Consider the following 21,947-nt stretch of genomic DNA (forward strand, 5'->3'; position numbering starts at 1 on the left):
TCAAAAGGCTGAGAAGCAGTATATGGTGCTTGTCAAAAACTCATTTCTTAGCATGGGTCGTCTAGAAAACAGAGCCTGGGGCAACAATTAAAGTATTGCTGCCTATAGAGGTGCAAACACATGTGTGTTAAGATAAAAGAAAAAAGAAAAGTGAGGTAAAGAAAGACATGAAACACAATGAGTTGGAAGCAGATCCAGCACATTGCTCAGTGGGCATGTTAGCTTGGCCTTCATTACCTCTCCAGAAGAATTGTAAAGAGGAATCATAACCTCAGAGTAGTCCATGGAAGATAGGTAAAAGGGAGAAATGCAACTGCCTACCTTTCTCTTGTCTCTTGTTTTGTATTAGTTGAAGTTCACCCACACTAACTCCCCATAATTCCCACCAGCTCCACTATCTTGTCCCTCCAACTCAGTCCTTGCCTGGTATGTTGCTACTAGCCAGTGTATCATCAGGAGGCATTAAATCTCGGCTGTGAAATGACACCAGATGTATTAGTCTGCTTGGGCTGCTATAACAAAATACCATAGACTGGGTAGCTTAAACAACAGAAATTTATTTTTCACAGTTTTGGAGGCTAGAAGTCCAAGATCAGAGTGGCAGCATGATCGAATTCTGGAAAGGGCTCTATTCCTGGCTTGTAGACAGCCACCTTCTTGCTATGTGCTCATTTTCCTGCACAGAATGAGGTCCAGCTGCTTGTTCTCGTGGTCCAATAACCAGATGCAGACAGACTTGGAACAAGGGTGTTTATTTCTGCAACTGGTTACAGGGAGAAAGTCAGAGTAAATCACCAGACAGACTCAAAATTACAAGTTTTTTTCTAGTGCTCGTGTATATTTTAAGCTCAATGCCTACATGTGGGAGTGCGGCCATAAGCAGGAGTGTTTCATTCAATCTATATCTAATCTTTAACTAGAGCCTGGGGTCTGGAAAGCTTTCTCTAGAGTCTTGGAAAGTTTCTTAAGTGTGTTCTGGTACAAAGTGCATGTTTAAGAATGCTATTATTCTATCAGACTTTAGGGTCTGAGAAAACCCAGGCAGGGTCTTAATAGGTTTGTTTTCACATTCCTGCCCTCATACACCCAGTTTCTCCAGTTCTTTAATGTTTAACTTATGCATTCATCAAAATTATAGTAAAAGGTTAGTGGAAACCGACTGTTCTGGTTGCTACTAGAAACCTGGCCTGCCACACTCACGTTGGGGAGACAGAGCGAAAGCAATCTCTCTGGTGTCTTGGGGGCTTCAGGACCTCATCTTAAACCTAATTGTCTCTCAAAGACTCCATCTGTAAGTAACATCACTTTTTAGGTTAGGGCTCCAGCATATGATTTGAGGGGTAACAACATCTAGTCTGTAGCATTCTGTCCCTGGCTCCCCCAAATTCAAGTCCTTCTTGCATGTAAAATACATTCATTTCATCCCAGTGGCCCTCCAAGTTTTAACTAATTCCAGCATCAACTCTAAAGTCCAAAGTCTCATCTAAATATCACCTAAATCAGATATAGGGGAGACTGTAGGTATGATTCATCCTGAGGTAAAATTTCTCTCCAGCTATAAACCTGTAAAATGAGACAAGTTAATGTGCTTTCAAAATACAATGGTGGACAGGCCTAGGATAGACATTCCCACTGCAAATGGAGAAACCAGAAGGAAGAAAGAGGTGACAGGTCCCAAGCAAGACCAAAGCCTAGCAAGGCAAATTCTATCAGATCTTAAGGCCTGAGACTACTCCTCTTTGGACTGATGCTCTACCCTCCAGGCTGTCTGGGGCGGCAGAGTCATCCCCAAGTCTATGTAGGTTGGCCTCACCCTTCAGATCAGTATTGGGCAGGAAACTGCAGAAGTGACACACATTTCTAATTGTGTAAATTAGTACAATCTTTCTAAAGATCAACTTTGTGATACAAATCAAAAGTCATAAACTGTTACATATCCCTTGATGCAGTAATTCAAGTGATAGCTGTTTATCATAATGATATTGTTATACAGGCACAACAGATTTTAATACAAGAATGCTTATCACAATTTGTATATTATAATGAAAAAGTGGAATCCTCAAGTGTCAACAATCAGAGATTTGTGCAATCATTCAATAGACTAGTATGTAGCCAAAAGGATTGATAATTAATATCATACTCAGAGCATTTAATACTCCATAGAAGATTCAAGGTGTAATAAATGAACAAAGCAGGTTGCCAGACAACATTATATTTGTAACAGATGCTATGTATTATGTATGCCACACTTGTGTATCTTCACCCTCACTATTCCAGCATGTGCTTACTGTGCTTCTAATTTCCAGCATCGACTTCTCTTTGTCTAAATTTTCTTTGCCCATGTGCTTAGCAGGCCAGTGATGCCCCTTGATGAACACTCATTCAATAACTGGTGGAGTCCACGATGTAGCCCCAGTGGTGAGGTTACTCACCACTTTGTTAAGACAACTTTGAGGTCCATGTTCCATGCTGGCTGCCAGAGTTCCTCATTTGGAACATTTCAGCTACCACAGTGGTAATGTCCTTGTACATACACTTTTTTGGCTGCTTTCTATGCCTTGTTTTACTTTTCCACTGTCCTTTCTGTGTCTCCTGACATCTTCACCCACATAAATGACCAGCACTTGAATCCCTGTCTCTAGGTCTTTTTCCAAGGAAATCCAACCTAAAACACCAATTCAAGCAGAATTTTATTGAAAAACAATATTTATTGAAAACTGACTGAAAATATGTCCATAAGCAATATTATTTATTACTGAGGTTGGTGTGATCACAAATGAGTATTTTCTTCCTTTTGCTTATCTGCATTATCTTTAGTGATTCTGGAAAGGAAAATAATAATAAAAGTTGTGTCAGACAGGCAAAATCAACCAATACTTTTTCCTCAGTTTACTCTTTCTCAATCCCATTCTTTCTCTTAACCTCTTTCAAAGAAAGCTACCTAATATGAATTCCATTGATTCATAGCGCAGACTTATTGCATGATTATATAATGACTTTTAGTCAAAGGAATATTAAAGGCAATATAGGCCTCAAGTAGTTCCTGTGAATTTCAGTTTTAAACTTTCAACATTCTCTCTACCTAGGCTATATCCTTACATATTTCAGATCTAAGAAATTCTTTCCCTTTTTCATCAGAAGAGGATTGAACTGAAGAAACCGATAGTATTTGCAGAATCGTAGATACAGATGTCCCTGAAGAAATACCCTCTTCCTAGATTGTGTTATTTGTAATAAAGTAACCCTGATTTATTCTGGATAAAATGGCATTGGAGACCATATGACAGGCTTCAGAAGTATTCATTTCAGAAAGCATGAAAGGCAGTTGTTTGACTATCATGCAATTCGGTTTGTAAGGGTAGAGAGAAAAGTAAATATTCTAGACAAATCTGAGTCTATATAATGAATGGTGTAGTAAGTACAAAAGGGCATTAACCAGGGGTCAGAAGTCCCGAATTCTTAGCCTTGGACCAACTACCAACCTCAATTTGTTCAGCTGTGGTTTGGTAAATTTTAGGCAGAGAGAAAAGAATGAGCAATGAGATAAAGTCTGTTGGGAACAGTCAAGTTACACAAATGAATAAATTGATTGAATTTGTACTATTTTTTATTTTTCTACTTTGATGGATATTTAAGTACTGAGAAACATTTCTGTAGCTTAAGAATATCAACAGTGCAGGTGTGACTGATGAATAGCAAATGCATTTGGCCTCAGTCATAAAGCTGTGGCAGGAACTTCATTCCATTGAGTGACCGCATTAGTCCACTCGGGCTGACAGAATACAGACAGGGAGGCTTAAGCAGCTGAAACTTAGTTTCTCACGGTTTTGGAGGCTGGAAATCCAAGATCAAGGTGTCAGCAGGTTTGGTTTTTCCTGAGGCCTCTCTCCCTGGCTTGCAGATGGCTGCCTTCCCATTGAGTCCGACTTGACCTTTTTTGTGTGCATGAGCCCCTGGTGTCTCTTCTTCTTCTAAGGACACCAGTCATATTAGATTAGGGCCCCAACCTAAAGGCCTCATTTTAACTTAATCACCTCTTTAAAGACTTTATCTTCAAATAGGCTTATAGGTGTTGGGTGTTAGGATCTCAACATATGAATTTTGATGGGGAAAAAATTTAGCCCATAACAGTGACATGAGTAGGAGAGCAAATAAATGCTGAAGGCTTCAGTATTAAGATCCGCTGAACTCCATAATTTAATAATCAATAAAAATCTATTTAAAATCATACACTGTATTTTAATATAGCTTTGAAAATGTATATCTAAAAGTATATTTATATTTATTTTATTTTGAGTTATGGATATAGAAGTTTTATAAAAATTGGCTCCAGTTAAATGTAAGTTGACTGTGAAATATTCACATACAAAAAATTGATTACATATCAAGCCAAAAGAAAAGTGTGAATAAAGTTCCCAGAGTAGAAATTCTGAACCTATACAATAGAATAACAAATAAATAACTAAAAGATGGCAAAAACAAAACAAAGTCAAGGAAGACAGTAGAATTACCACAAAGAAATAATTTTTAAAAATAAACTTCTAAAAACTCAGATTAAAGAGGTAAGTAAAAAGTATGTGGTAAACAGGGATAGTAGAGAAAACTTTTCAACTGCTATTCTTCAGTACCTACACGTTATTTGTGATGTGGTTATATCACATAAAAATAAATTAATAAATGCTTAGAAATATGTGGCAGTGAAGACAAAACATTAAACCTTTCAAGTTTTGAAAGATTTAAAATATATGTGCTATACATTTCACTTCAGAAGGCAGATGAATTGCAATGCTAAAGGAATAAACACAACTAATGAAGATAAAAGCAAAAATTAATAAAATGGAAAGCAAAAATATTGTCTTCAGAGCTGTTTAAGAAGACCACATAGACAACACAATATGCAACATCAGTAATGAGGAGGTGTTTACTCAGAGAATAAAGAGATTTAACAAGTTTAAATGAATACCAACTATACATTTATACCAATGCGTTTTAAAATGTGGCTTAGATAAGTAACTCTTGTGAAAATATTAGCAATTTGGGTTCAAGAATAGTTAGAAACAATAAGGAAAGACAGAGTTCTTTCTCCCAGCTTGCCCCTGACCCGCAGGCACCAGATCCAATGTCTGAGCAGTAAATCCAATCCAATCGAATCTTCGAGGCACAGAAAATTCAAGACATTGAAGCTACTGCAAAGCATAGATAAATTAGTTGCTAGAAATTTACTCATTCATACAAATTAACAACTCATTCTATGAAAGTGGTAAGTCACTAATTCTGAGAGTGTTGAAAGATAGCACTAAAAAATAAATTTACAGACTTTTCTTACATATGAACACAGAACCAAAAATATGTAAAACCATCATCTAACATAATCTAGCAGAACCTTAAAACCACACTATGCCATATTTCAGAAATGTAAAGATGGGTCAACATTTGGAAATGGTTTCAGGTTGTTCACTGTATCAGTAATTAAGGAGTCAAAGTATATGATAGTTGCTAAAAAGGCCATTTGATGAAGTTCAACATCCATTTCTGAGGAACATCCTCAGTAACTTGGAAATCATATGGCTTAATTTAAAAGCAACATTTTATCAGCAATTAACAGTTGAAATCATATTTCAGTGAGAAACAATAGAGGAATTTCCAGTAAATTTAGGAAAAAGGCAAGGATGCTCACTCTCATTACTGTTATAAAATATCAGATATCATACTGGAGGTCAAGGAATACAAATATGCTGGTACAGGAACACAAATAAGCAATGAACAATAAACATGAGAAAACATCTATAGTAACAATAGGAACAAAAAAACTATAATGAACTAGAATTTTTAGGTATCAGATAAAACATTAACAACGTTTGATTTTGATGAAATTGCTTCCATTACTTAAGCCCTTCTTAGGGAGGCATCCACATCCTGCCTCCCTCTCTCCGCAGCCCAGCGTCTGTCTGTACAGATTAGTGAAAGCCGCTTTACAACTTCTGCAGTTCTTTACTAATTCTGAAGGCTCGAGGTATCCACTGAAAATCAATGTCTTTCTTTTCTGGTGAGAAAAGACTTTGCAGGTGAGAAAGTTATGAGTAATTGACAGAGGGATGGGATAGGATTGCGGGGGCAGGGAACTCTGGTCCTGTGGATGATGGCTGTATTTTTTCTTAAATCTCCAAGAATAAACTCACCTTGCCACTGTGAGGATTGATTTCCTTCCTGCCTATTAATATGATTTGAATCCTATTTCCTGTAAAATAATAACTTTTGCATTATTTTGCTAAGGTTTGCTCTTGCCTTTCTTGTTCAAGGTTAAATAACAAATTTTGTTTTATTTTTTAATTTTTTGAGACAGGATCTTGCTCTGTCACCCAGGCTGGAGTGCAGTGGTGCTCCCATGCCTCACTGCAGCCTGGATCTCCCAGGCTCAGGCAATTCCTCTGCCTCAGCCTCCCAAGTAGCTGGGACCACAGGCACCTGCCACCATTCCTAGCTAATTAAAAAAATATATATTTGTAGAGGAGGGGTCTACCTATGTTGCCCAGACTGGTCTTGAATTCCTGGGCTCAAGCGATCTTTCTGCCTTGGCCTCCCAAAGTGCTGGGATTACAGACATAAGCCACCATTCCTGGCCACAAGCTTTTATCATATTAAACTATCAATGGGAAATGGCCAGGGAGCTGCTCTCTAATCCCCAGAAGTTTCTGCTGACCACCCTGAATTTGCAGGCAGGCTGTTGGGAGTGGAGGACATTGCAATGCACTTTCCCTGAGAGCAATTGGAGGAGCAATTGTATTACATTCTTGGACTGATCCGCACAAAACCCAGCCAGGGACCATTTGAAATGCCAGTCTATGGTTCTTTATAACAAAAGGACTAATTTAAGCAAATAAAGTAGGTGGAAAAAATTCACTGGAGGATCTGTCCCTGGGTGATCTTTGCTGGATGTGGAGGTGAATGCTGGGTCAATACTGACTTGTGCCCTAGGGGTCAGGTGAGAAGGAGACTAAGGAGGCCCGGCCTATGCAGTCTGCTCCCCACAGGGTTCTTCTCTTAGCTTAATGTATAAGATATTCCTGCTTATGAAAATGCCCTGTCCACAAAAAGTCATAGATCTCTCCCTGTTTAAGTCACAGGCAGTTAGGGTTGTTAATTTTGCTCTTGGTCAATCCTTAAAGAAGTAAAAATGACCCATGCGGTCTGGAGGGAAAAAGTAAATTTAAGAAAAGAATAAGTTAACTTTGAAGCAGGAGATTCATATTACTCAGAGGTATGGAGATGTCATTTGAAGTTTTCTATAGAGGTCTCACTAGGGCCATATTAAAAACAAGAATGGGTGGGGCTTTATGGCTCGTGCCTGTAATCCCAGCATTTTGGGAGGCCAAAATAGAAGGATCATTTGAACCCAGGAGTTGAGACCAGCCTGAGCAAAATGGCAAAACACCATGTCTACAAAAAATTTAGTCGGGCGTGGTGGTGCATGCCTGTAGTCTGGGCTACTCAGAGGCTGAGGTGGGAGGATCACATGAACTTGGGAGGTCAAGGCTGCATTGATCCATGATTGAGCCACTGCACTCCAGTATGGGAGACAAAGACCCTGTCTTAAAAAAAAGTCATAAATACAGAAAGCAAATTGATAATCCATCATTTTGGAAAAGAGATAGACCCTGGATCATGATCTGGGATTTGAAGATACAAAGCTTTAGGGCCCTGGGTGACCTGCAGTTACGTGGATGGCCACATGGGGAAAGCAAACCATTGCAGTCATGAAGTGACCAGTGCCTCCTGTTCAATGCTGCCTGTCCTGAGCTGCCTTGTAGCAAGTGGTCATACACAGGCATATACATTCATGACATTGTTTTCTTTTGATGATGTTTCATGAGTAGAAGAAAATCATTAATATTTTACTCCACGATGTCATGCCAATAAAAAGGGTAATTCATACTAATTCCCTTGTGGGCTTAATCATTTTTCTTTCAATGTTAGGATGAATATTAGAGTCTTCATTAGAATAACTCCTTGAAAACAGTTAATAATATTTAATTATTAATTAGTAATAAGTAATAGTACTTAAATTAATTCTTACATGCGGGGGCTGTCCCGCAGACCCTGACCCAACGACAGATGAATAATATATGCTGACACAGATATTCTGCCTGTCAGTCTGGCTAAGGGTCTGAGCCCCTCACAGATACCAAGGAAGGTGCTGTAAAGAGTAGCAGCGGCAGCCCCCTCAGCCAGTGAAGCTCGCATTTATTCAGTATAGATTAAATGACAAAGGTCTTGAGTAAACACCACTAGAGGGTAATTGACCCAGTTGCTAACTCCCCAGAGTAGAGAGAAATTATGCACCAGCAGTTGATCAAAGGTTGGTCTTGGGACCACATGAGTAAACAAGCTATTTAGATAAACTCCTCTGCATTCCTTTGTACCTACTGTGAACTATTTACACAAGGTAAGGATTAGACTGCTTTCAGCCATAACACTGTCCTAAGACTTTTGCAAAATCTTCGAGCCTTCCAAGAAGATTTGTGTCTATATTCTATAACTTCATTTTAAAGTTTTTCCCACCAGCCTGACTGTACTCCTACGCTTACAATGTCCCTTTTACATGAAAATAAATCCTTTGAGTTCCTCATTGTCCTTATATAATATAGTTTTGTCTAAATCCTTCTCCTTTGATAAAATTGGAAATGTTTTAAGTTTAAAACTTTTTATGTTTCAAGTTTACCAAGTCTCACCCAACAGAAATGAATTTTTTCTATTTTTCTCCTCTCCTTTGAGAAGTCACTTTCTATTTTTCTATAATATTAACATATATCAAGTATTGCTAGTGGCTGATTGTCCCCTGATATGCATTCTCACCTTCTCTGTACTAAAAGGCACAACTGCAGAATTTGGACATGCTGTCCTTTTTCCTTCCCACCCCCCACCCCCACACTGGCTGGAGTGGAGATATCCTGGACCATGTGGGTGAGTGCCTCATCCCAGTGATTACAGAGCAACAAGGCAGAAGAGTCCATGGCCATTCAGCTTACCTTCCTACCACTGCTTGTACCTGGATATAAGAAAAATGCACTTCTGTCTTATATAAGCCACTGTAGTTTTGGGCTTCTGTTACAGCAATTGAGACTACGTCCTAACTCATAAAAACACCTGACATATGCCAGGCAAGAGTTCAGCACTTCATGTACTTTAGCCCATCTTCACAAGCCCTCTAAAAAGAGGGTCTTATCCTGATTTTTATTTTACCAATAAGTAAGCCAAAGCACAGAGGTTTAAGAAGTTTGGCCAAGGTCACACAGCAATTAACTGAATTAACTGGGAGAAGCAGAGTTCCTGCCCTAAAACAGCACACCATACTTCTACTCTAGGATGCTTCTGTCCCTTCCTCATGTCTTTCCTATGATCAAGACCAAGGCCTGCCCAGTGCCCTTGACAATAGTGTTGGAGCCATCCTACACAATAACTCCAACACTATTGTCATCCTCATGCCATCTAATTGCTTTCCCAGTTGCCAGTCATGTTGTGCTCTAATTCTAGTTCATTCTCATTTAGTCTCCAAAATTACCTGCCCCACTCCCCCAAATAAATTTGATTGCTGTGTGTGGCCCTTGATTTCTTCTCAAATTCCTTTACAAAGATGTTCATTGCTGATATGGGTCCTGAATGTCTGTATGACCTCTCTATTTTTACCCCTCTTCCTCTGCCAACCCCATCCCTATGCCCCCATTTTCTAGGCTCCAGTGATGTTCATTGACCTTCCACACTTATGCCATTTTTAGCCATGCTTATGTTCATTCTTGTCTTGTGACTTTTGCCTATGTAATATTTTATAACTTCTTAACTCCCCCTGACTAACTTCTCCTTCTTACTTAGGTTCAGCTTACATCTTGATTCTGGGAAGCACTTTCTCATCCTCCCAGTCTAAGCTGGCTGATCACTTCCACAGCAGGCTCTGCTCATTTATATCAGATATCACCTTCTCTTTTCTTGTCTTTGGTGCCTTCTATGCAAGGCTGTGAGCAACTTGAGGGAAGGTCTATTTTGTTCATTGCTGTGTTCCAGTTGAGAGCACAATGAGTGGCACAGAGTAGGTCTTTAGTAAATATGTTTTGCATGAGCGAATAAATGAATGAGGTGAGGAGGGGGCAGCAAATTTCCAGGAGACTCCCTAGATAGCCTGTGGCTGGACTTGGTTCAGGTCTGAAATTGTGAATCCCAGAAATTGGACACATTGATTTCTTATGGTTTCTTCATGCTCGCCTAGCATCTTGATTGAAGCAAGTACTTAAGATAGTCTGCTCCAACATCAAGCCTGACGCCAGTGGAAGTCATCACAGTGAGTATTGTGGAAGTGGGTGCTTGTGTTTGAACTCTTCAACTTGTACACACACACACAAAAGAAAGTTGTGCAGGAAAAACTTCCTCTGCTGCTAGTTTCTACAGTTGATGGTGTTAGAATGCTCCTGCAGTGTGTGTATGGAGATGATGAAACCCTCCCTTCTTCAGGAGAACCTGCAGAGAGCAACTATTATGATGTGTTGAAATGACATCTGATCTAAGATTCAGGAAATCTGGATCATTTTCACATTTCTGGACTTGTAGTGAATCTTTCAGAGAGCCATGAGCCTTCCTTACCGCCTTTGTTTCACATTCAGTAGATTCCACCATATGCCCCAGCTGCATTTTCAGAGCAGGCAAGAATTTGTGGTGGTGGTAATAGCATTTTTGGGAGGAATATGTCAGATAGGGAGTGGAGAAGTTTTTAATGAGTTGGAAAGGTGAAATGACTCTAAGACACACACATCTCTTCATATTTCTTTCAAAATGACCGCCATTCATAGATTTTTTTTTTTCTTCCAGGTAAGGGGTTGGAGAAATGAGGGAGTAGTGGCCAATGGTAGTCATAATCTAGGTTGAAGAACTTCAACTCAAGTTAGAATTATCCTTTATTCTTACTCCCTAGATTTAGATGGTTGTCTAAATATTTTCATTCCGCATGTAAAATGCCACTGCTGTTTATCTCTTTTATGCCGTTTCAACAGTTGTCCCTGTGGTGTAGGCTCCAGTTACTATGAGTCATCAAAATTATTATGACAACTTCCTCTCCAGTCTCCATGCCTCTAGGCTCTGTGTCTTACAATCTACCCACAGACTACAGCTCAATTAATTCTCATAGGGGCCTGTAGTGACCTGGCCCCAAATCTTCAATGTTCTTGTTACTTTCAGGATGAATTTCAAGTCCTAATAATTCAAGATTCTTACAATCTGGACTCAGTTTATCCTTCCAAAATCCTCTCTCATTATCCTTCTAGGCTGGTTATAATGAAATTGATGTTGTTGGGGGCACACACATTAAACCATATTATTTTCTCCAATCCTTTCTTCAGCAAACTGAACTTATTGAAATGACAACGTTTTGCCATGTTCCATGGCTTTCAGATTTTTGGTTGCTGTAGTTCTCAGAGCATCCAGAGCAATTTTAGACTTTTTCTTGTCCTTCCACAGGCTTCATCCATGTCTAGGAGAGCTTCAGGATGGGAAGATATTCCCAGCTGTTGCCTTCCTCTTCCTTTCTTCTCCTGGCTATAGATCCTTTGGTGTGTTGAGGAGGAGAAGGGGGACAGGGACACGTTTTTTTTTTTAGTGGCTATTGTTGTAGTCTTTCCTCTGGGCTCGGTCCTGTTTCTCTAACACCAATCACATTCAATGCCTTCTGAGTTCTAGGCCTTCAACTGTTGGTTCTGGGGAGGGAGAGTTGTGAGTTTTCTGCGGAGACTGGGGTTCTTGCAAAAGATCCATTCTGAACCTACCTCTTCTCATCCTGTCTCATTCCCTGACTAAGTAGTACCCCGCAGCTTGCTCCTGGAGTATGCCTCTCTTGTTGCTCGCAAGATCGCTCAACTTGCCTCCTCTTCCACGATGTCCATCTGACCCACAGGAAACTCATGGAGCAGCTTTGCCTTGTCAAATTGTGAGCTTGGGAGCTGCTCCACAGCCACACTGCTTCTTCCTTTCCCTCCCCTCTTTTGGATTTTTTTTCCTCAGCTCAAAGAGGCTCAGAAGGCAAATCATCTAGCAGTCTATATAAATATACTTCCAATTGTGGGAGAAGATATCAGTTACCCTGATGCACGAAGTGATTCTCTTGGAGGCCCTCTCACTTGGCTTTAGGTCAGGGTACTGAGCAACACCTCCCTCCTTCCATGAGGCGGAAAGGGGGAAAATAAGACACACAACTATGTTGCCCAGGCTGGTCTTGAACCCCCACGATCAAATGATCCATGCTGTAGTGTAATCACCCTCACGTGATTACAGGCATGAGCTACTGTGTACAACCAGCATCTATCCCTCTCTCTCTCTCTTTCTTTCTATCTCTTCTCTTCCTTCTCTTTCCTTCCTTCCTTCCTTCCTTCCTTTCTTCCTTCCTTCCTTCCTTCCTTCCTTCCTTCCTTCCTTCCTTCCTTCCTGTCTTTCTTGTCTTTCTGTCTGTCTCAGGGTCTTACTCTGTTGCTCAGGCTGGAGTGCAGTGATATAATCATGGCTCACTACAGCCTTGACCTCTAGGCTCCGTCAATTTTCCCATCTCAGCCTACTGAGTAGCTGGGACTATGGGCATGTTTCACCACACCCAGCTAATTTTTGTATTTTTTGTGGAGACAGGGTTTTGCCATGTTGTCCAGGCTGTGGCATGTTTCTTATAGTAAAAATAATAGCTAGATTTTACAGGGAATTTACTCTGCTCCAGGTATTATACAAAGTACCTTAATACATTATTTAATTTAATCCCCCTAACAACCCAATGCAATGTGCATAATTAGTATTATTCTCATTTTATAAATGAAAATAATTGAGTCTTAAATAAGTTATGCAACTTTTCCAAAGCTACACATGTGGAAAGTGGCAGTACCAGGAATGTCTGACTTCTATCCCCAAGGTGTTTACCTCTATGACATATCTCTCCAAAGACACCATGGACTATGCCTTTACTTATGTTACTGAAATTGGGCTTTAGAGATTATCCAACTAGCTATTTTCATTATGCGGGTGAGAGATCCTTTACCCAGAGAGGACAGGTGAACATCAAGGTCACACATTAGAACTTTCTTTCTTGAAATGCCTCCTTTACCATCCTGTATATCCAAAGTCTATTAGCCTTCAATACATAGCTCAATACCTACTTTTCTGCCCAAAGCCGTCTCTCACATTCCTTTGAAACTTATACCAGGTACTGCTGGTACCACTCACTTGGCACTTCCACATATACTTGGCACTTCTTTAATTGCCATGTAAATAATTTAAAAAATCTTGGCTAGGCGCGGTGGCTCACGCCTGTAATCCCAGCACTTTGGGAGGCCAAGGCGGGCGGATCATGAGGTCAGGAGTTCGAGAACATACAGGCCAATATAGTGAAACCCCATCTCTACTAAAAATACAAAAATTAGCCGGGTGTGGTGGCATGCACCTGAATCCCAGCTACTTGAGAGGCTGAGGCAGGAGAATCGCATGAACCCGGGAGGTGGAGGTTGCAGTGAGCTGAGATTGTGCCACTGCACTCCAGCCTGGTGACAGAGTGAGACTCCGTCTCAAAATTAAAAAAAAAATATCTTATATGCATGTGACTTTCCCCCACATCTATTTTAAGTACATTGAGCAGTGCTTTAAAAATATTTTCTTATATGGCAATTTCAATTTAGCTTATTGAAAATGTATTGAGCACCTACTAAAGTTGTGAGGAGAAAGAAAAGCAGTGTTCATGGTAGAGCCAAGGGCTTACTATGCCATCCTGGGGTGCAGTGTAGCATCTCAGCAGGTTGATGGCAGACTAGCGCAAGATTTCTTTTTTCAGTTATAATCTGAATGTTGTTGGGTATGTTCTGCCTAGTCTGTATGCTCACTGTAGTTTTGCAACAGGTTGCTGCACATTTTAGCTTGCCTGCCTAGACTCTGAAGATGCTTGAGTGAGGACAATAGCAGGAGGTTGCTGGTAAGGTGATTTGAAGGCTCATATTAGATCAGGGGTGAAGATTTTCCAAAAAACAAGTCACTGGGGAGTAACTTGAGTTTTTAAGCTAGAGTAATGTGATGGGAACTGCATTTGAGGATGATGTATCTGATAGTGATGTGTAAGATTGATTGAGCAGGGAAATGGGGCCAGGTAAGAAATTAATGCTCCCTTTGTTCCCTCAAAGCTGTGGCACATGTAGTTATAATATAATTCTGCAATAGTTTTATGGTGTGCATTACACCATTTAGCACCATCCTGTGTTCGATTTTCTGTTGTGGCATTCTTTACTCAAGCACTAGGGTCTGGGCCATGCCTTGCATCTTTTTTGTGTGTCACACAGTGCTGACACATGGCAGACACTGCAAGAAGAGTTGTTTGACTGACACTGAAGTGTCAATGTTACTTCCTTGGAACAAAAGGTGGTAAGGAAAGGATGCCAATTCATGTGCTATGTCAAGTTAAACTAGAAGTTCTCTCAGATATCTGAGCACAGGGTATGTGTTCTAAAGTGCTTTTGTTTGGTTTTGTTCCCACGTAATGATTTTTTATGCTAAATACTCTCTCCTGTTTAAGATAAAATATTTTTCTTTTTCTAGTGTGACAAACATTCAGATGTGATCTGAATTATTCATGATGACTTTTAGCTTTTGCTCATGTTGCATTTTGAAGTCCAATATTGCACAGATATTTTGGCAGAATGTGGCACTAAACGAACTCATCAATTCACTGGTATCTCTGGTTTTCTAATTCAATGGAATGTTCAAAGCTCAAGTACCAAACTTCCATTATATTTCAGGGAGGCACCTGCTCAGCTGAGCCCTTCTCAAAATCGGACCTTCTCATTTCAATATTATATTTAAAAATGGAGGCTCGAAGGATTGACTGAATGCCGTGTTAATCTTTGTAGAAATAGCAAGCAGGCCTAGCAATTCAGAGGCTCCATGTTATCTACCATATTGCAAAACCAAAATGTTGACATATTAAGAAAATGTTACAGACGTGGATCAGTTTCTTCCCTCTAAAGCCGCATGTCTCGTTAATGCTTACACAGCTGCCATCTTGGAAATCAAAACAGAAGAGCAGGAACTTCTGTTTATGTCAGGCTTTTTTTTGGTTTCAAATGGTTTTTACTACTTTTTTTTGAAAAGTCTGCTCAGATTTATTTATTTTTTCAAAATGAGGGCCACAAAGTGGGTATAAACTGTTATAATTACCCACTCATCTCCATCTTATTGTAGAAGTATTTTATGGTATCTTTAGTCTTTTTATGATTATAAAAAACAACATAGTAACTGTAAAAGCAAAACCACAAATAAATACAGAGATGAATAAGATAAAGAAGGCTTTCTATTATTTCTCTTTCCAGAGATAACTATTGTCAACAGTTCCAGTTTGATGTCTAGTGAGATAGATAGATAGAGATGTGCCAAGAGAGTAAATCACGGCATTTCTGTATGTCTGACTATGGAATATTCTTCAGAAATCACTGAGACCATTTATTTTACATTGGAATTTCATCTTGATCTAAGATCCATCAACTTTAGTAGGTAAGTTGGGTTTTGGTGAACTTCCCAAGTCCTAGAGATTCTGAAAGTGGTTTCTGTCAGTAATATAGCAAGTTGTCAAGAAAAGGTCCTTCTGGTCTAATATGCCAAAAATCCGTGTTAATAAGTTACTTTAATATAATTACTCAATTTGATTAGCTGAATTATGCAAAAGCACATCAGTGTTCCACAGGGGCTTGCAGCAGAGCTCTGAAGGACTCCTGTTCTCCTTTGCCTTGCCCTCTCCAATGCCTTCTGCCCCATCCAGCCCTTCAATGCCATGTTCCCTCCCTGAGAGTGAGAGAAACTCTTAGAAACATAGGCTCAGGGAAGACAGACCCTAGTTCAGGGAGGTTTCTGCTCTGAATTTCAAAGGACTGGGTAGGGTTAATCCAGCCAAAACCTAGGTTAATATTCATAGAAATTAAAGAGAAAGGGCTTTACTTCCTCAGGGACTAGAAGAGGTCAGGAGAGAAACTAGGTTAAATAGGAAGGCTAGTGTGTTTGTGGATACAGAGAGAGAGAGAGAGAGAAGGAGAATAGGGAGGAGGAGGAGGGGTGAAGGAGAAGAAACACGAAGAGAGAAGAAGGGAAAGTTGACCTTTTACAAAACATGTTGAGGTTAAGTGTATGTATGAATAGAGAAATGTACAGATGTTAAGCATAGAATGAGATGAGGTTTGACACATGTACTTATCCGTGTAAACAATACCTAATAAAGACATAGACCACTTTCCTTTGCCTCAGACAGTTCCTTCATGCCCCTTTGTACTCAATATGCCAATTCTACCCTCCTGACCTCGTAACTATGGGGATTTCCATTACTATAGATTCATTTGGACATTCTTGAGCTTCATATAAATGGAATCATACAGTATGTTCTCTTTTGTTTGTTTCATTTATATGTCTTGCTCTTTTTGTTCAATATACATTTTTTAGATTCAACATGTTGATCTACCATAATGCTTTTTTGCTTAGTATTGAATATGGTTCCACTTTATGAATATACCACATTTGTTTATCCATGAAACTTGCATTTTTTAAAAAAATGGTTTGTCTCATTTGTCTTCTGGTTGACACAATTTCAAACTTTGAGCAGGACATACTTGTGTTCACAGGATTGCTTGGAAATGGATGATAACTGAAATTTGCTGTCAACTTAGAAACTCCATCTGTGATCACTATTATCACCTCCTCACCGCCAAACCTCAAACCAAAGCTGTGCCTTCTGAATCCATTTGTGGTAAGAATTTTTCATACTCATACAGGACTCTAGAGTTTCTGAAGCATTTTTATACACAACATTTTCTTTTACCTTGATCAACACTCAGAATTTCTAGGTGCCAGATTTTGAAATAGAGAGTCAGGAATACAGACTTTCTGTTCTCTTTCCTCAAAATTCTAATTTTGTGATGCGATGTTCTGTCAGATTGATTTGGGCCTGCAGCAGGAATTATCATTTCTCTGCATGGCCATAAGGGCCTGGCTGGGGTTCCATTTAGCCAGCCCTGTCGTCCTGCTGATGAGATCATGTATCTAGCCATGCACTTCTTGTCTGTGCTGCTGTTTGTCTACTTTTGGGCTTTCACACAATAATTTTAAGAAATATTTGGAAGCTATCCTTAAAAAAAAAGAAAAAGAAAATGGAAGAGCTAGCTGCCATAATGATGATATTCCTAATTCAGTTTACTTCTGAAATCACTAAAGGAAGAAACAACTTTTGTTATAAGTGTCTTATTGCATTGATAGAGATTTACTACTACAGGTCTTTGCTCATGGAACCAACCAACCAAATGAACCTCTGAAGCAATGAATATGCAGATAGAAGCCATTTGATATCTGAAATAACTTTTAGAAAATTTGCAATATTATATTATGAGCTCTTTGACTCTAACTTTAAAACAATTTTTTGCTTTTGAACAGTTAAATCAAATCTGAGTATGGCTCCCTGAAAAAGAGTCACCTGCAAATTCTTTTTATGATGATGACATACCTTGAACATTCTGATTCCCTTGTAAAAATAGTACATAAAAAAATTACTTTTTTTAGCAAAGAAAATAGTCCTCCAAGATTTTTAAATGGGTTCGATATTAATTCATTCATTCATTGATTCATTTATTTTTAGACACAGGGTCTCACTCTGTTGACCAGGCTGCAGTGCAATAGCACAATCATGGCTCATTGCAGCTTTGACCCCCAGGGCTCAAGTGATACTCCCACCTGAGCCTCCTGAGTAGCTGGGACTACAGGCACACACCACCACACCAAGCTAATTTTTAGAAAATTTTAGTAGAGTGGGTTCTTGCCATATTGCCCACGCTGGTCTGAAACTCCTGGGCTCCAGCAATCTTCCCACCTTGGCTTCCCAAAATGCTAGGATTATAGGGGTGAGCTACTATACCCAGCCCTTTTTCAATTTTTATATCAAATGCATGTATGGAAATAGTATTTATGTTAATTGTTATATATAGGAACTTGGTGCTTGCAGCTCTTTTAAGTATACTTGTTATTTTTTTTAAGTAAATGCTAATTCTCTCTTTTTATTTTTTTTGAGACGGAGTCTCGCTCTGTCGCCCAGGCTGGAGTGCGGTGGCACTATCTCAGCTCACTGCAACCTCCACCTCCCAGGTTCAAGCAATTCTCTGCCTCAGCCTCCCAAGTAGCTGGGATTACAGGCATCCACCACCATGCCAGCTAATGTTTGTATTTTCAGTAGAGATGGGGTTTCACCATTTTGGTCAGGCTGGTCTTGAACTCCTGACCTCACGATCCACCTGCCTTGGCCTGATTCTCTTTTTAAAACTGGAAAACAAAATTATTATTAGATACAAGCCATGTAATCTAACATAAGACATACGGTATAGTGGAAAAAAATTTATCATGCTGCGTGTGTGTGTTTGTGTGTGTGTGTGTGTGTATATACATATATATGTAATTTTTCTTTTTTGTTTTTAGGGAACACTATTTATCAAGGATGACTGGCATTTTTGTTTAAATCATGTAGTTACTCTGCAAGGTCAAAGGAGGGCCACTATCATGTCCATTTTTACAGACAGGGAAGATAATTCTGCATTATTAAATGGCTAGGAAGAACGAGGCTGGGATTAAAATGCAGGATCTCCGAGACGTATTTTCTAGTGCTATTTTTGCTACAGTTGCAAATGGCAGAATAAGAGCTCTTGAAGCACGGTAGTTTTACTAGGATCTGAGAACCAGAAGTTGGCTAAAACAACTACATTATAAAGATTGAAGGAACTAGATAGCAAATCAATATTCACACAGAATAAACTGTAATGACCGATTACTTCAATTTCAAAGAAGTTAACTTGTGTTGCGGCTGCTTTGCAATTGTTTTCTGAAGAGCTGAAGGAATAGCTCAATAATGTCCGAACTACACGTTTGGTTTTCAAAGAGCACTGTGTGCAGTGATTTAGAATACAACGGCGGGTCAGCATTTAGTGACAGCACGAACAGCCTTCAGCTTCAAGAAGCTTCCTGTGAGGTCAGCTGACAGCTCTCTCGGGACCAAATCCTGATGTATTATAAGGATAACCCAGTCTGCTCTTAAAATGAGAGGATTTCTAACAGGAATTAATCACGACCTCTTTTTCCTCTCTTTAAAAGCAAGTTGCTTTGTCATCTTTTTTTTTTTTTTTCTGAAATCATCACAAAGAAAGAGTCTGAAAGGGAGTTGTTCTGCTTAAAATATTGCAGCAGATAATAGACAAAATAAGATGGCAATTATTGCTTACTGCCCCTCCATTGCCTCTTACTCTCCTTACAGAATACCCAAGTGGGTTTTAGGATAAAAATCGCTGGATTTTTAATGTTCATGAATAAGAGAAGGTTGTAAGTGAGAGTCTGAATTTGGAAGGCAATAAAGAAGCATAGCAAGAGAGAAAAGAGCTGAATTGGAGGGAATAAAATATAAGCAACCCTTTTTCTGTATTGCCCCAAGTGATGCTGGCCTTGTCAAATGCATCACAGTCTGAGCCAAGTTTTCAGCAGTGTGTGTGAGCCACAGAAAGGAAATAAATCTATCATTTAAGGGCTGCATTAACTCCTCTAAGAAGTTGGGGATTGTGTGTGTGTGTGTACATGTAAATTTAAATCTAATTGGTTTTGTTTCTTTTGCTCTGTGAAGGAGGAACATATAAAGTGTCCAAGGTTTTATTCAGAGCCTCAGGGTAGCCATACTGTTTGGAGAGCGTGCAGCATACCAAAGCTTGCGTGGTTATGGAGTGTTAGAGCTGGAAATTGTGTCCAAGCATGTGGAATGCTTCCCGTATTGTCAAAGTGGCCATTAAGTATCTTAAAAGTTAAATGCTTTGTCTTGCACTGGGATCATTACTTCTGATTTGAAGACACTTGAAATCAAATTCATGTAAATTTTAAAGAAGTTCTGCTTAAGCACACCTCACTTTCAGCCACTTTAAGTCAGGTTGCTATGAATGGGAAATAATGCAAAGAACAATCTTCAGAGAATGAATAGAGGGTGTCAACTTCTAATTCCTTGGTCACAGTTGGATTGTCCAGTGGTGGACACCTGTCTTTAGCCAGTGATCGGAGCTTTTAAGCACCTGATTTGAAAGTCCTTTAGCCAGTTCTTTCTTGTTAAGGAAATTGTGAAGTTTGAAGGCTAGATTTTGTTACTTGTAGAGTCCCAACTAATACCTTCATTCATTCGTTAGAGGGCTCATGTTCTCAAAAGTTTTTCAATGGCGTTCCAAGAAGTGGGATATTCCTACTTGCACAAAACCAAAAAGGACCTTGTTAAAATACAAATATTATCAAACAGGGCTGTGCATCATGCCTATAACCCACATGATTACTTTCACATTAATTATCTGTCTGCTGTCCAGTCAGAAACCTTTTCAAGTCTTGATAGAAAACTCAGCACAAGCCACTTTTGAAAGAAAAGAAAGGCCAGAAACAAGGGTCATAGTAGGTGGAGATGAGACACTTAGGTTTGAGGATATCCAGAACGTGCATGATTGTGAGAAATTAACCTCTAAAATGCTTATAAAATTATTTCACTCTGAGAGTTGAATGAAGATTAATTAGGAGAGTGCAGTTTAAGGTACGGAATATGGAATCTAGCTTTTATTTCATATTCAGTAAATGTCATCTATTATCACAATAAAATACTAAATGTTTAACATAATTGAATGTTTTTGGTTTATGAACAAGTTCAAAAGCTTCCATTACCTAATGGTTTGATTTTTATTGTACAGTTCTGTATACAAATATAATATCTTTGGGATTTGCAAGTCTAGGAATTAGTTTTTTCCACACTACTTTTGCTTATAATAAAATTTATATATACCCAAAGTTTTTATTATAATTCATTATTTATGATACTTCATGTAACCCAGTCATTATTTCTATTTGAGTTTGTATATATTTGTACACTTAATTTTATAATATGTCTGAGTCATGACAGGGAGTCAGAATTACTCACATTGGCAAGCCTTGATGACTTGTATAGTCCTTTAAGAAAAGACATTTCAATACTATTCTACTGCCATTTGGTACGATAACAGGGCCAAATGAAGCATAATTTACATTTATTGAAAATGCATTTGGTGATGGTGGCCCACTGTCATCCCAAAACTTTGTCAAATCAATATATCCAGGACACAGTTTTGGTGGAGTAAAACCAGTGTATTCTTGGGTTCTTGAGTTACGGATTGATATAATCTCTACAGAGGTTACTAAGCATTAAATAGTTAAACAGCCTTTGGAAAACTAGTGTTCTTCTCCACTGAGGATGGTACTATTATTTTTATTAGTAAACTGCTTCTGGTCATTTTGGAACAACACACACTGGGGCCTATCAGAGGGTGGAAGGTAGGAGGAGGGAGAGAAGCAGGAAGAATAACTAATGGACACTAGGCTTAATACTTGGGTGATGAAATAACCTGTACAACCACCCGTATGACACACATTTATTTATGTAACAAACCTGCACATCCCGCACATGTACCCCTGAACTTAAAAAAAAAGTTAAAGGAAAAAATTCAGAAAATCTGGGAAGAGCACTATAGCTACCACACCAGAGAAAACTAACTCTGTAGGAAAAGATTTAATAGTGAATCAGCAATTGAATTTTTTTTCTACTTAAAATGATGAAATTTATTATCTTACTATGAGGCTTTAATATCAGCCTCAGAAAAGGGCAGTAAAGCTACTGTTAGAACTGAATTGCTAGCTATAACTTTGGGAGCCTCAAAAATGCGGAATTGGTTTATTTTCACTTCTGACATCAAATACTGTTGCTGTTTGCTTTGAAATATTTCCTCTTGGTATCAGCCACAGCCCTGGAAGGGCTGACAAGTAGGATACATGTCTCATGTTTTGGGGCGGAGTCACAAGCAAAAGATAACTTTAAAGATAACTGTCTT

The 21,947-nt window shown here is 39.1% G+C and overlaps 1 protein-coding gene across 4 annotated transcripts in view; it reads left to right on the top strand.

Annotated features, from left to right (window-relative positions):
- Positions 1-21,947, top strand: part of UNC13C (unc-13 homolog C) — a 795,839-nt gene that overhangs the window by 23,911 nt on the left and 749,981 nt on the right. For all 4 annotated transcript variants that reach the window (XM_047432538.1, XM_017022220.2, XM_017022221.2 and 1 more), the window contains exons 2-3: positions 15,366-15,546; positions 16,662-16,786. The gene's annotated coding sequence lies outside the window, so the exon portion shown is untranslated. The remainder of the gene's footprint in view (positions 1-15,365; positions 15,547-16,661; positions 16,787-21,947) is intronic.

The sequence above is a fragment of the Homo sapiens genome, chromosome 15 (assembly GCF_000001405.40).
Source record: "Homo sapiens chromosome 15, GRCh38.p14 Primary Assembly".
Lineage (NCBI taxonomy): Eukaryota > Metazoa > Chordata > Mammalia > Primates > Hominidae > Homo > Homo sapiens.